At 45.3% G+C, this 15,358-nt stretch overlaps 3 protein-coding genes across 5 annotated transcripts in view, besides 1 other annotated feature; 1 reads left to right on the top strand and 2 right to left on the bottom strand.

The window, feature by feature from the left end:
- The window catches only part of MAX (MYC associated factor X), a 96,595-nt gene extending 85,171 nt beyond the window's left edge, over positions 1-11,424 (top strand). For both annotated transcript variants that reach the window (NM_001271069.2, NM_197957.4), the window contains one exon: positions 11,241-11,424. In NM_001271069.2, the coding sequence (NP_001257998.1) occupies positions 11,241-11,321 (81 nt within the window). In that variant the 3' untranslated portion in view covers positions 11,322-11,424. The remainder of the gene's footprint in view (positions 1-11,240) is intronic.
- Positions 1-15,358, bottom strand: part of CHURC1-FNTB (CHURC1-FNTB readthrough) — a 148,295-nt gene that overhangs the window by 45,131 nt on the left and 87,806 nt on the right. For both annotated transcript variants that reach the window (NM_001202559.1, NM_001202558.2), the window contains 3 exons: positions 13,212-13,276; positions 5,136-5,208; positions 1,809-1,900 (listed from right to left, as the gene is read on the bottom strand). In NM_001202559.1, coding sequence (NP_001189488.1) covers positions 1,809-1,900; positions 5,136-5,208; positions 13,212-13,276 — 230 coding nt within the window. The remainder of the gene's footprint in view (positions 1-1,808; positions 1,901-5,135; positions 5,209-13,211; positions 13,277-15,358) is intronic.
- FNTB (farnesyltransferase, CAAX box, subunit beta) overlaps positions 1-15,358 on the bottom strand; it is a 75,756-nt gene that overhangs the window by 45,126 nt on the left and 15,272 nt on the right. Inside the window, exons 2-4 of the mRNA NM_002028.4 lie at positions 13,212-13,276; positions 5,136-5,208; positions 1,809-1,900 (exon numbers count right to left, since the gene is read on the bottom strand). Of these exons, the coding sequence (NP_002019.1) occupies positions 1,809-1,900; positions 5,136-5,208; positions 13,212-13,276 (230 nt within the window). The remainder of the gene's footprint in view (positions 1-1,808; positions 1,901-5,135; positions 5,209-13,211; positions 13,277-15,358) is intronic.
- Positions 11,233-12,432: an enhancer, noted in NCBI's record as "MED14-independent group 3 enhancer chr14:65471811-65473010 (GRCh37/hg19 assembly coordinates)". NCBI's record gives its function as "activates an origin of replication core promoter dependent on BRD2, BRD4, P300/CBP and CDK7 cofactors, and independent of MED14, by STARR-seq in HCT116 cells {active_cell/tissue: HCT116}" and the evidence as "EXISTENCE:reporter gene assay evidence [ECO:0000049][PMID:35650434]".

Below are 15,358 nucleotides of genomic sequence, written 5' to 3'. Positions count from 1 at the left end.
CTATAAAACACCAAGTACACAGCCTAGAAAAAAACTCAGTCGATTTTGGCTCGAGTTCTTCCACCTCAGGCACCCCCTGTGATTCTCTCTTCCAGTTTTTCATGGGTCTGCGGCCTCCTCCATCCAGCGTTCAGATCCAGGCTCACAGAAATCCCCATTTTTTCTTTCTTCTCTCACACCCAACTTTCCCATTGTGCAAGAGTGAAGGGAAAACTTTCCAAATATCCTGATTGTGTAGGAGTGAAGGGAAAACTTCCCAAACAATCCCCAGGCCCCCGAGCTGGTATTTCAAAAACACACGAGGCTGGATGTGGTGGCTCACACCTGTTATCCCAGCACTTTGGGAGGCCGAGGCAGGTAGATCAGCTGAGGTCAGGAGTTCAAGACCAGCCTGGTCAATATGGTGAAAGCCTACCTCTACTAAAAATACAAAAATTAGCCAGGCACGGTGGTGGGTGCCTGTAATCCCAGCTACTCAGGAGGCTGAGGCAGGAGAATCGCTTGAACCCGGGAAGCAGAGGCAGCAGTGAGCTGAGACTGTGCCACTGCACCCCAGCCTGGGTGACAGAGTGAAACTCTGTCTCAAAAAAAAAAAAAAAAAAAACCACGTGGGCCTTTCTTTGACAATTAAATTCCTGTTACTGCAGAAACTGTGTCCAACTCTCCTTCCAGTGCTGGAAGCAGCCAGGCTTGCAGTGGCATCCCGATGATCAAAACAATGCACTTGCCTCTCCCTCAGAAAGCATCCTACGTACCACAAGGGTTAATGGCCTAATTCTTTATTATCTTCCCCATCCACATTCATCACAAGACACCCTGCCCAGGAAGGCAAGAATGAGAGGTTATTGTTAAGACAGAATGAATGAGACAATGTGCAGTTCTGTTCCTCTGACCTGACAATGTGACTGAGGCAGGGGCTCTGTGACCAGAGAGGGGCCCCGGCTAGGCCTCTGTGTGTCCCAGCACAGCTGCCTCCTTGTGCTGTGGAGAAACAAACCTGGCTCAGAAGTCTCTCATCCCAGATGCTTCGACCTCAAGAGCACCAGAGGAAGCTGAGAAATTCGAGATGCTGCCTAGAGCCCATGCTGCCTCTCAGTGGATCTCTTGGATCCAATTCCTGGCTGCCCTTTCTTATTCCAGGTATCCCTAGGACTGGAGTCATGATCAGTCTTTTCTTCTTTAATATATAAATGGTGATGAGTGTCTGGGAATGAGATGCCAGATCACGAATGCCATCTGTACAAGGATCTTGGGAAGAAGCTCAGTTGCTTAGATCTCTAATCATCGATCAGGTTTAGGAAAACTGAGAGTCATGGCATTTGTATGCCACACCAGTAACACATCCAGTCCCATCAAGAGCTACATGGTCGCTCCAAGCACCGGGAGCGGGGAGGTACTTCTATAGAGGTGCGTAGGAAAGGCAAAGGCATTTTTGTTCACTGGACTGGCACGTGCTTCCCCACAGAAGCTGTTCAAATGCATACTGTACTTTCTGGCAAAATCTTGTCTCTCAGAGTTGATGATTAAGACTTTTCTCAAAGACCAGAGTCAAGAGCCAAAAGAAAAGGCCACAGAAGAAACCAGAATCCTTCTCTTGGAAGTTCAAAGTCTTGTTCTACCCACCAGCTTACATTAGTTTTCTAAAGTGGAGGAGTTTCAGGAAGTTGCCGGAGGTCATGAGAAGAGCAAAGATTTCTTTGTGGCACTGTTTTTTTCCATTCCAAACAAACAAAACAGAAACAAAACAAAATCCCAAACTCAAAATACAATTTCAGAGAACACCCCAGATTTCCCAAAGACAGACTCACTCTGTAGCCACTATCTGGGGGATGGGTTCATCTAGCAGTTCCAAGCTGTGCAGGATCCAATAGCAGAGCCATGGGCGGCTGGCATCCAGACACTGGGAGAGAGACAGGAGAGAAAACATCCCTTATTCACAATCACTCCAAGACACTGCTGCCAAGGCTGTATCTGTCTCACTCCCAGCAGCCTGGCAAGGGGGAGGAGGGCACCCTTGCTCAAACAACAATCAGTGAATAAAGGACACTTTGCTTTGTGGCCTTAGCCAGGAGCTGAAATGACCATCTGTTAAAAAAAAAAAAAAAAAAAAAAAAGATAACAAGGCTGGGCGCGGTGGTTCATGCCTGTAATCCCAGCACTTTGGGAGGCCAAGGTGGGTGGATCATTTAAGGTCAGGAGTTCAAGACCAGCCTGGCCAACATGGCGAAACCCTGTCTCTATTAAAATTACAAAAATTAGCTGGGCATAGTGATGTGCGCCTGTAATCCCAGCGACTTGGGAGGCCGAAGCAGGAGAATCACTTGAACCCGGGAGGCAGAGGTTGCAGTGAGCCGAGATGGCACCACTGCACTCCAGCCTAGGCGACAGAGCAAGACTCCGTCTCAAAAAAAAAAAAGAAAGAAAAGAAAAAAAAGACAACAGGATTAAAAAAAAGATGACCCTGAACCCAGTGGATCCCTCCCTGGCAGGCATCTAAGGAAGGCTGAGCAGAGGACTTCCTACAGGCCAGGAGGTTAGGGGCTGCTATTTTCTCGGTATAGAACCAAGGAGATATACATTCTCTGAAGAGATTTCCTAGCTTAACTCAATCACTGATTCAACAAATATTTGATAGTATCTACTTGTGCCAAGCACTGTATTAGACACTGGGGGGATGATAATAAAATTTGGTTTCTACCGTTTATTTTTTTGAGACAGGGTCTCGCTCTGTCACCCAGGCTAGAGTGCAGTGGTATGATCTCAGCTCACTGCAGCCTCAACCTCCCGGGCTCAAGCAATCCTCCCACCTCAGCCTCCTAAGTAGCTGGGACTACGGGCACACACCACTATGCCTGGCTAATTTTTTAAGTTTTTATAGAGACAGCATCCCACTATGTTGCCCAGGCTGGTCTTGAACTCCTGGGCTGAAGCAATTCACCTGCCTGAGCCTCCCAAAGTGCTGAGATTACAGGCATTAGCCACCATGCCTGAACTGGTTTCTGTTCTTGAGATGCTTGGGATATAGAATGTGTGTGGTTACCTGTAGGGGAAGAGAGCACTGGACAGACATATAAGTTACCTCATGTCTTTCTGGAACCAACACGTGTACATATACCTGGAGAAATGCTGTAATGGACGAAAACAGAGTTTTGAGGGAGCACGTGGAAGAGACTGACTAATTCTGCCTGGGGAGCTAGGAAAGGCTTCCAAAGGCAAAATGCAGACGGCTCTTGATCCTAATTAAACCATAAATGATTATTGAGCATTCAAGGCTAGGCAGGGTAGGTAGGAGTACTGCCCCAGTTTTATAAATTAAAATATATAAATGAGGTCCAAAGATTAACCTTTTTCAGATTATAAAAATAGCAAATGTCAGAGGTGAGACAAGAACCTAGGTTTTTAGAGTCAATCCAGTGTTCTTTCCGTTGGCCCAAGCTGCTCTCTTCAAAACTATGCTGATATCCCAAGCTGTGGCTAACCCACCACCTGGAAGGTAGGCTGGTGAGCTACTGAAGACACTGCCAGGGATGCAGCTTAAGTTTGAATCCCAGCTCCTCATCTTACTCGCTATGTGCCTTTGAGCAAATGACTTAATTTTACTATGCCCATTTCATTATCTGCAAAAAACAAGAGATTGATCTACCTCATGTAGTTACAAGATTTAAATAAGAGAATGCAACTGGGCGCAGTAGCTCACGCCTGTAACCCCAGAGCCTCAGGAGGCTGAGGCAGGTGGATCACTTGAGGTCAGGAGCTCGAGACCAGCCTGGCCAATATGGTGAAACCCTGTCTCTACTAAAAATACAAAAATTAGCCAGGCGTGATGGTGCACACCTGTAATCCTGGCCACTCAGAAGGCTGAGGCAAGAGAATCGCTTGAACCTGAGGCGGAGGTTGCAGTGACTCACGATCATGCCACTGCACTCCAGCCTGGGAAATACAGCGAGACTCCATCTCATAAATTATGAGAGAATGCATGGTAAGCTTTCAGCACACTGTTCAATAAATTGTTAGCTGATATGGTACCAACTGTAACATAACTATTGAGGACTTGAGTCAAGGATTGAAAATTCATAGCCCACAGGCCAAATCTAGCCCATGGATGTGTATTGTTTAACTGGTAGTAGCTGCAACATTTGTCAGGAGAGTCACATGAAAACGTGATTTCCGGCTTCATTTGGAGGAAGAAAAAAAAAAAAGGAAACAAAGATGATTTGGCAACCCTGGGTCTGCATTCCCAGATGGCAGTAATGGGCAGGAAAGAAGTTAAGGGCACAGGGTCTCCAGTTAGCCTCAGTCTCCATGCAGCCCACTTCACTGATTTATGCTGCCTGCCTGGGCCCTACAGGCATTTGAGTTGGCAAATCATTGCCACAAATAATCAAATGTGGAACCCAAATAAAAAGCAGATTAAAAATAGAGATGCTGCTCTGTGTTAAGCAGGGCAGAAAGACTGGAGACTTCCTGTTCACATTCACCCTTTGCCTGCCGCTCAGTCCCATCCAACATCTGTCCCCTCCACCGTCACCCAGTCCTGACGTTGCTCTGGGAAATATTAAAGATCTACTCTTAAACAGTAATGTTAAATTGCAAGGACCACTCTCTATACTGGTCCTCTAGTCAGTATAGAAATTAGATCTTATTACAAGAAAGGGTTTTTTGTCTCTTTAATGAAGATATGAAAAGTAATGTACTTACTAGAAGGAGTGGTGAAGTTGGAAAATTTGTAACCATCACGATACAGACTTAACAGGTTTGGACAATAGTCCTCAATAAATGAGCGAGAAATTAGATCAGCTTATAGGGCAAAGGGTTAAGGGTGAACAGGTAACTGGCATTTAGCCAGCTGTCAAGGAGGTCTAGATAAAGCACGTGAACCCCTTAGTCATCATCTAGTAACAGAAGAAAGCCCCATCCTATCTAGGGTGCTCCACTCACTCTGGAAGAGACTAGGTTCTGCCCTTTCAGGGCTGAGTCCCAGCTCTGTGACAGCACCCTACCTCCTGCCAGAGCCACAGAGAACAAAGAGTGACTCTGCAACAGGTCAGCCCCAACAGTCTTTTACGTTTAAATAGAAAAAGGAGGAGGATTTGGTGGATAATTTGACAGCAAGAGTTCCTGGGTAATGTGTTTACCTCATAGGCATCTGTCAGTTGTCGAAGGCCTCTTTTCAGATAATGGAAGTGCTTCTCCCTCTGCAAAACAAGCCTGGAAAGACAAACAGTTTATAAGCCCATTCTAATAGCTTATGCTTCCACCATACACACGTATGTGCACGTACACACACACGGGTAAACACTCAGCTTCAGGACGTCCCCCTGCAATCACTGACTGGATAACCAGCAACTTCTCTGGTTCCAAAGAGCAACTAAACCAGAGAAAAGAAGCTCTTGTCTGAATGTCTCTAAAGCATCTGAAAACCATGCCAGCTGACATTTAGAGTGCGATTGTCTCCTAAAGGCAGTGACTTTGGGCTAACGGAAAAGCCGCAATGAGCACACGCAGCCAGGCAATGACAGTCCACCCAGAAACTTCCTCCAGCATCTAAGAACAGATATCTTTGTGCCTCCCCATCCTATAAGCAATTTAAATCTGAGCCTCGCCACTTCCCTGCCTCAGCCGCTGTCATTTCAGTCACCCCGTCTGGGATGACTTCTCCAAGGCCCATAATTTACTCCCTGCCTGCCTCTCGGTTATCCAACTATTATTCTCTCCCTGAAATTCCACCTCCCACGTGTGACCCACAGCCCTGGCCAGAGGACCGTGTTCTGCAGCCAGTCGCTGTCCTTGGCTTTCAAGTCAGCAATACTGGCTTTAAGATGGAATGTGCCGCCCATGGCCACCTGCACAGGCCGGGCAAAGCACAGAGGCTGCACTTCTTTCTTGGTCTGGCAGAAGAGCCTGTGTGACTAGGGAAGGAAACAAAAAGCACAGATTGTCAAGATGTTCCCCGTGCTTGCAGATTACAGAAACAAAGGAAAGAGAACCATTCCCTTTGCTAGGTAGTCAATTCCACAATTGTTTATCAAATTCCCACTGTACTTGGCTCAGAGTAAGAGCCTTCATGCAGTCTTTTTTTTTTTTTTTTTTTTTCCTGAGACGGAGTCTCGCTCTGTCACCCAGGCTGGAGTGCAGTGGTGTGATTTCAGCTTACTGCAACCTCCACCTCTTGGGTTCAAGCTATTCTCCTGCCTCAGCCACCTGAGTAGCTGGGATTACAGGCACGTGCCACCACACCCAGCTAATTTTTGTATTTTTAGTGGAGACGGGGGTTTCACCATGTTGCCCAGGCTGGTCTTGAACTCCTGACCTCAGGTAATCCCCTGCCTTGGCCTCCCAAAATGCTGGGATTACAGGCGTGAGCCACCGCACCCAGCCCTTCATGTAGTCTTTACCTCAAAAACTCTTCCAATTCAGAAATGAGGTAAGTATATCAATGGCTACAAGGAAAGAATGGGTAGGTTTTGCAAGGGAAAAACATACTACTGAGGCTCAAAAGGGAGGGGATATCTCATGAAGAAAGGAATGATCAGGAAAGTTTGTGTGAAAAAGGAGGAATGTGCGATGAGTGGCCCTGGCAGAAGGAGAAAATTTTAATTCAATTTTAATTCAAGTTTAAATAGCTGCAGGTGGCTAATGGCTACTCTACTATGCTGCACAGGTATCAAGTGTACAAGAGGAGTGACAGGTGGGAGAATCTGACCTCAATACAGGGATGAAAGAGGAATGGGAGGAAAGCAGGAGTACTGCCCCAGTTTAAAAACAAACAAACAAACAAAAAAACAAGGATCTGGGATGCTGACTAAGGCATTTCTACTCAATTTACTAGGCAAAGGGAAGTCCTGAAGGTTTTTGAGATGAGGAAAGAAATGATCAGAACTGTGCTTTGGAGAAACAGTAGGTAGTCAGTATGTGTTTACAAACTGAAGTATCTGAAAATATCGCAGTGGGCAGACAGATGGGGTGGGGAGACAGGGTTAGAAGCTCTGAGGAGCTGACCCAGTTGGGGCTACTTAGGGCCCGAACTAGTGTGTGACCCGTGATCAGCTGACTTTTGGATGTGTGGGTCTTAGGATGCTGGGACTGCATTCAGGTGATGATGTCAATCAGGCTGCTGGACACACACGTGAGGCTCAGGAGAGGGATTCAGGTTACACACACAGACTACGAAGCATTTGTCTGCACACAAGTGACAGGTGAAGCCACAGAAGGTGAGAGGGCAGAGAGAGAAGTTTGGAAACAAAACTGTGGGAAGACCCATCTCTAAGGGTTTGGAGGAGCCAGTGAAGGAGAGAAACAGGAGAGTTTACATATGCTAGGGAAGAGCAAAGGAAGTGTCATGTCACAGGCCATCAGGGAGGAGAGAATTTCAGGAAGGTGTTTAACAGTGGCAGATGCTGCAGCAAGACTGAGGGGAAAAGACAACAAACCACAGAAGGGCTAGAGACCTCCAAGAGCATTCAGAGCAGAGGTGAAGGCAAATTGTAAACAAGAGAAGGCCAGACTCAGTTTCTCTTTCAGGAAAGTCCACTCAGGACGCAGGGAGCACCCATCTGTGTGGGCAGAGTGTTGTCCAGCACTGGGGTAGAGGCTGCTCTGTACCCTAGAGCGACAGTCCAGAGGTGGACACACATGTGAAAATGACAAGCAGAGCCCTGTCCAATAAACGCTGTGATCAGCCACGGGAAGAGATGGAGGGTCAGAAAACTCTTCCCAAAGGGAAGAGCATTGAGTTTAAGGCTGGAAAGACATGAGTTAAGCAGGCAAAATGAAGAAAACACCATGACACATTTGAGTTAGTTTAGTTCAGCTGGATCAAAAGTACAAGGCAGTAAGCAGAGAAATTCCACATTAGAAATGCAAAAGCTCAGAGGAAATCCATAGGGAAGGTCTGTAAAGAGGATGGAGGAGGGCTGGGATGAGGGTATAGTAGGAGAGGTGAGCCTGGAATAAGGAAGGATGCTGCATTCTTTGAGCGAGAAATGATGGGTACGAAGCTAGCGAAATATAGGTCTCTGATGTGGGAAGAAGGAAACAGGAAAGTCAGGTGGGTCAGCCTCGATTTTCTCAGGAACTAGGAGTCAAGATGGTGGGAGAGCTGTGGAGTGGCCACGGTGGTGGGTGTGTTAGGGAATCTACATGAGACGAATAAAAGGATTATAAGGCAGTTAGTGAAGCGCCAGTGAAATTAAGAAATATAACATGTTGGTGAAGCCAGTCAGCAGCCTCAGGAGAAACCAAGCCTGCTGACACCTTGGTCTTAGACTTCTGGCCTCCAGAAATGTGAAAAAATAAATCTCTGTGGTTTAATGCACCCCATCTGTGATACCGTCTTATGGCAGCCCAAGCTGACTAATACCCTCACCGGTCCTTCATTCTCAACTCACCTCTATCCAAAAATCTTTTCTGTGTAGGAAGTTAAGAAAGAAAAGGTAGAGCTCTTCCTATTTTTACCTGAACAATTCAGCCCCAAAACCATTCAATTACATGGAGCAGAATAAGACAGGTTTCGTGCAGGACTTGAGGGGGTGCAGGGTGGGATGCAGGCTGTCAGCTCAAGTGGATGAGGAGGGCCCCCGTCTCACTGTGCAGAGGGTGACAGGAGAGCAAGTGGGTAAATCTATTAAGGCTATGGGAAGTCAGGTTTCCACTGTCTGAGAAGGAACTTACACATCTATGTGTACTGGGTAATGATTTAAATAGAATTTCTTATGAGGGGTGAGCCCACTGGGCTTCCAGACTCTTCACAATGTGCCTCCACCCACACTACTCTCCAACCTCATCTCCGCCCCTGAGCTCTGGTCATGCTGCCTTCTTTGAGCTCCGCTCCTTTCAGTCTCCTGGCTTTAGCACATGCTGTTCCCTCTGCCTGGAACACTCTCCCCATCCTTTAAGTTAGCCACCCCTATTCCACCTACAGATTCAGCTTAAATGTCACTTTCTGTAAGAAGCCTTCCCTAACTTCCCAATCCAAATTAGATTCTCCCAGTGATTCTCTCTCTCAAATTATCCCATCGGTAACTGTATATTTGTGTTCATTTGTTTAATGTCCACCTCCCCCACTAGACCAAGAGCCCAGCAGGGGCAGGCCCAGGGCTAGCCTTGCTCACTCTGGCTTCCCTGAGCCCAGCAGAGTGTCCTGTCCTTTGGAGACTCTCTAGATACTGCTGCTGAAAGAGAGGATCACACAAAGGCAGCAGAATGGAATGAGAGCAAAGCCACTTCCTCCCCCCAAACCTGGGCCATCCTGGAAAACATGCATTTGATTGTGACAGATGAGAGGACAGGGGATTCAGTCCATTGCTGGTTCCTGGGGACTTTCTAAACTCACTAAAGCCAGGGGCCTCTCTAGTCAAAAAATAAGCACCTGGCATGTAAGCAATAAAGCAATCGAGGAAAGGTGAACTTATTTGTGAGACCTTGGAAAGAACAACAGTAAGAAGGGAATACATCCTCTACCTGCTCAGGATCTGGGAAATTCTAAAATTGTATCACATACAGGAATAGTAGAAAACACGGGAGCTAAGCTGGTGCCTGTGAGAGACCTGCTTTGAGGACTTTAACTCAGAGTATTCTGGCTTCAGAGCCATTGTCAGCACTTAACCTCCAGGGCTCTATTAGCACAGGGACATTATCAATATTTCTCACTTCTGAGGAGCACCCGTCTCCTTGCCCAGGAGAAAACAAATTTAAAAACTACATGTGAGCGAGGTATCTGTGTAGTTTATGCATTTCAGGTTTCTTATTAAAGCCAAGGTGATAAATGCAAAAGGGTACATTCAAAAGGGTGTGAAACCGTGACAATACCCACAGGGAAGAAAAAATGAATTTTCATGGGAAAGCAGACATGAATAAACAAAACCATGAAAAGCATGGTCAAAAAGCTCCTTGGGACTGACTACCTCACTCCAGGTAGACAGTCCCAACCTTAGAGAAGAAAATCATTTCTGGGAAGGGGATTAAGTATAGAATGTACTGACATTCAGCTCCAGGCTTGACTTTCAGCCCAGTCTGCTATTCAGCTTTGGCCCTGGAACACTGAATAGGCAAATGCCTACTTCAGCATCATCACAGGCATCCCTGGACCTGTGCGTGGTCTGTGGTCCTGGGCATGTGTGTGAGTCTGTCCCATTTGATCAGCATCATGACCTCAGACACACAAACAAGCCCTGCCATCTAGATTTACTGCTAACAGCTAACCATGCACTTCAGCTAACAGTGAAGGTTACTTCCTGTATTAAAGTGTCAGACTTTTAAATTTTGACTATTAATATGTTAAATATTGAGACTGTGATAATGATTTAAAATTCTGATAAATTTTCTAATTTATTCTTATATCCTCGCTTATTCTATGATGGTGATGTTTGCCTTCAGCCTTATATTGATATGTTGAATTATATACTCAGCCATTCAGCCAAAATGTATAGTATCTCCAATATTAATTAGCATCCTTTAAAACACTCAATTTCATAGGCAACAATGATAAAAACGGGTAATTGTGAAATTCCTGAAACTAACCCAGAGCCCTGATATATTCTATTTCCACAAGGATCCGAGCCCAGGAGGAACACTTTTTTTTTCCCACCCATACTTGACCTACCAGCTATGAATCAGGGGATTTCACTCCTTTAATATCATCTACCACCACTCTCAAAAAACAACTGCTTCCTCCCAGACTATAACCTCCCATTTTCCCTCATATCTCAGTGTGAATAAAAGTCTTTCTTCAGCTCATGAGCTAAGGAAAAACAAATTTTAAAAAAGGAATGAAAGAGACCAAGGGCTCTATCCTGATGGTAAGTGAAAAGGGAATGTCAAATAATCAAAGGTTCATGTGAGAAACAGAGGCTGTGTGTCCCCAGAGCCCAGGCAGTGGACAGTGACTCAGCCCGATCGGGTGAGTCATCGGGGGTACAACCACAACAACAAAGCCCCTCCAAAAGCAATCACCCACACCCTCACCATTATGAAGTCTTGTCCCCTCTGGGGAGGCTAAGCTTGAACCAGCTTGTGCCTAGGGGCAGCGAACTGCCAAGGATACCATTACATTTAAGAGAGCTCGTTCTCCCAAGCTATTTAAATAAATGGCGTCATTTGCTAATCTCTAGCTGTATCTCATGACAAGAGGAATAATTCATTTTATTGAGGTCAGAGCATTGGGTTAATGCAGAGATTTGGTTTAGCAGTTAAGGGAAAGACTATACTAGTAAGCTGATATTTTTCCTCCTTTCCTTCCCCAGGGAACAAAGATGAAGTTAACCCTCCCACCTGTCTTTCCTTATGAACACTTGCCTTTTCCAACTGTTTTCTGCCATGGCTAATCAGAAAAAGTTTCTTAAGGAAATGGTGGCAAAAAAAAAAAAAAAAAGACACAAAGGTAACAAACAAAGCTGGACCTATTTATAATGTTCCAGTAAGCAGAAGTACCTAGAGACTGACTTGCTAGGATTTAGTCTGTTAGAAGATCTCAAGAAGTCAAGAGACATGATGAAGGAGGAAAGGCTGAACTTCAGACCTGCAACTTCCCAGCCAGAGTGAATCAGCCAGTGACCTAACCACACTTTGTTCAGAGATGTCAAGGAAAAGTGTTCTCTCGGCCAGGTGCCATGGCTCACAGCTGTAATCTCAGCACTTTGGGAGGACTGCTTGAGGCCAGGAGCTCAAGACAAGCCTGAGCAACACAGTGAGACCCCCATCTCTACAAAAAATAAAAACAAAAATAAAATAAGCTAGGCATAGTGATGTGTTCCCATAGTCCCAGCTACTGCGGAGGCTGCACTGAAAGGATTCGCAGGAATTCAAGGCTGCTGTGGGCTATGATCAGGGCACTGCACTCCAGCCTGGGCAACAGAGCAAGACAGGGCAAGACAGGGCAGGGCAGGGCAGGACCGGACAGGACAGGACAAGACAAGACAGACAGAAAGGAAAGAAAGTGAGAAAGACAGAGACAGAAAGAGAGAGGGAGAGAGAAAGAGAGAGGAGAGAAAGAAAGAGAAAGAGAAAGAGAGAGAGAAAGAAAGAAAGAAAGAAAGAAAGAAAGAAAGAAAGAAAGAAAGAAAGAAAGAAAGAAAGAAAAGAAAGGAAGAGAAAGTGTTCCATCATTAAGATAAAATGGTGACCACACAGTTTTAGGCTACTGATCAATTCTGATGGCTGGAAATATAACAAATAATGGTTTCAAAAAAAGACTCTGACTGCATGAGAAGTACTAATACAAGAATGAAATAACCTTATGAAATTCTAGTGTGACATATTACAAAACACTGGAAGAGAAAATAAAGGTTCAAATTAAATAATAAATTTTTTCCTATAATTCCCTTTTCAAAATACCTGACCTCACAGGACTTAGAAGACTTCAACTTGCTAAGCTCCAAGGAAAACAAAAGGCATTCTATTTCTTGTTTGAAATTTCATCCTTGGGATATGGAACACAATTACCAACAGGGAGTAGGCATGGAGAAACTCAAACTTCCCATGTTTTTCCAGTCAAATAATAATCCATCCCTTGCCATCTCCCTGGACTCTAAATGTTTCAAAGTACAATATGAAAAAGAAAAATCTGGGCCGGGCACAGTGGCTCACGCCTGTAATCCCAGCACTTTGGGAGGCTGAGGCGGGTGGATCACCTGAAGTCAGGAGTTTAAGACAAGACTGGCCAACACGGTGAAACCCTGTCTCTACTAAAAATACAAAAATTAGCCGAGTGTGGTGGTGGGTGCCTGTAATCCCAGCTTCTTGAGAGGCTGAGGCAGGAGAATCACTTGAACCTATGAGGCGAAGGTTCCAGAGAGCCGAGATTGTGCCACTGCACCCCAGCCTGGGCAACAAGAGCGAAACGCTGTCTCAAAAAAAAAAAGAAAAAGAAAGAAAAAGAAAAACCTGAGAGTTCTCATCTGAAGACCAGAGCAGCAGGCCACCACTAAACAAAAACCTGGAATTCCTCTCTCCATCTTCAGACCTCAGAATTGAGGCATTGAGGGGAATCCCCATGTAACACCTGGCAGCTCAGCTCGAGTGGAGAATCGCTCTAAACAGTATTCTACCAGAGGGAGGAGTGGGGGTCTTAGCATATCCAGGTAACCACAAGGACAAGAAACACCATTCTTGCAGCAGATGCTCCCCGTGGTTAGATTCGCTCAAGGAGGAAAGAAGAAAGGCTGCTGCATGGTGGTGTTCTCCCAGATCCCCTCAAACTCCTAACCACAGCTTACCTTGGTACAAGGTGGTTGAACTTGTAAGAACTGAAGACCTCTTGGATCTTTTCTTCTACTTTTGCCTGGTAAGGATGCAGGAGATAGGAGAGAGAAAACAAATACAGATGAGACCTCCATCAGCTTTTTCTTCCTATTGCCACAAATGCCTATTGGCGAGGGTTGGTTGGTATGGTCTGGAACTTCACAGTACTGTAAGATGGGTTCTGCAGGATGACAGGCTTAGGACAAGGCGAGAGGGAATCCCCTGTACCATGCTGGCATCACAATGGACTTTTCCAGAAACCAAATCCATAATATCCAAACTAATGGCAGTTTTGGTGTTTGGTTCCCTGGCACCAGTTACTCTGGGAGCAGATGAAGACAGATGTCTCTTGCTTGTGTGGGAGAGCATATGCCACCCCAAAATATGCCTCAACAGCATAAGGATTATTTTGAGAAACTGCAGCTACAGGAGAAACTCTGAAAACAGAGTATACCAGTTTTTGAGGGAAATTGACATCTATAAAGGAAATCTCCACTTGTGAGAGTGTTTCCCTCTCCGTACCAAAAGAGAAGGATGACTAAATCAGAGGAAACTATTATCAATGGAGAAGGCACCTACTGAAATCTGCATAACAAACATTACTCTTATTTACCATACTTGTCCTGTTCACCTCCCCATAACTGGCTTCGCCCACAATCTTCTCTGTTTTTAGTTGAAAATGCTTTAGAAGCTGGAGTTCTAGATCACCTCTTTCAGAATTACTCATTTTCCCCTGGGTATCTCCTATGTATACATGAAGCATACATGTTAACAAACTTCTGCTTGTTTTTCTTTTGTTACCCTGTTGGTTTGTTATAGTGGTTCCAACCCAGAAATTAGAAGGGTAGAGGGAAAATGATTTTTTTTCTCCCCTCCACTTGAAATATGTATTCTTCCTGCTCTATGAAGTTGTTTGGATGTTCATTAACTCACCACTCTCAAATACATAATTAGTTTCTGCCTACAGTCATGCTTCTTATTGTAAAACTGAACAGTTAAAATATTAAAATCATCTGGGAGATTTATAACAACATCAATTGTTGAAACACCAAAACAAATAGCAAATTCTGGTCCTACGTCACACACAGGACTCCACAGTCCCATAAAATGAAGGATCTCAGAAAGTCAGGTCACAAAAGAAATCAGATCTTTCTCTTCTGAAGACCACACCATAATGCTAAAACCGCCCCACATGGTTGACAAAAATTGCGTGCTGGGTTCTGGACAGAAATACAGTTATAATTAAGCATGAATCAGGCTGCACTTCAGCCCACTTCCTGGTTGCTAAACGTCTGACCATTTGTATCCCATCATTCCTACAGAGCCAGGATCTCTGACATTAGAATCATAAGACTTTTGTTTAAGGATCATCTAAGATGTTTTTCAGACTTTGAAGTCCAGCAATCAGTTTGAAAACCCCCACAAAGGAACAGGATCTGCCTGAGAATACAGCTTCCTTATCTCCCTGTCAATGACTTCACCCTACACTTTTCAATCAATCAACAAACTCCTCACTCCGCACTTCAGCCCACTCCAAAACCCTTAAAAGCCCTAACCCCAAATTCCTCAAGGAGGGATTTGAGGATTCTTCCCATCTCCTCATCAGGTGACCCTATGACTAAACCTCCTTCTCTGCTGCAACCCCGGTCTTTCTTTTTTTTTATTTTATTATTATTATTTTTTTGAGACGGAGTCTCTGTCATCCAGGCTGGAGTGTAGTGGCATGATCTCGGCTCACCGCAACCTCCACCTCCTGGGTTCAAGTGATTCTCCTGCCTCAGCCTCCCAAGTAGCTAGGATTACAGGTGCCCACCACCCCGCCCAGCTAATTTTTGTAGTTTTAGTAGAGATGAGGTTTCACCATGTTGGCCAGGCTGGTCTCGAACTCCTGACCTCAGGTGATCTACCTGCCTCGGCCTCCCAAAGTGCTGGGATTACAGGCGTGAGCCACCACGCCCAGCCAACCCCTTGGTGTATTGACTTGCTGAGTGCATCAGGCAATGGTTGTGGACACAATGTGGTCTCATGGGAGAGCTCCTGTATACAAGGTATAGTAATGAGGGAGCGTCTGGTTAACAGGATTGGCGTTCACCTTCCTTGGCATTCCTAATCTTTGTAGTGA

This window comes from Homo sapiens, chromosome 14 (assembly GCF_000001405.40).
Source record: "Homo sapiens chromosome 14, GRCh38.p14 Primary Assembly".
NCBI classification, from domain to species: domain Eukaryota; kingdom Metazoa; phylum Chordata; class Mammalia; order Primates; family Hominidae; genus Homo; species Homo sapiens.
Note: the sequence above shows the minus strand (reverse complement) of the source record. Positions and strands in the feature narration are given on the sequence as shown.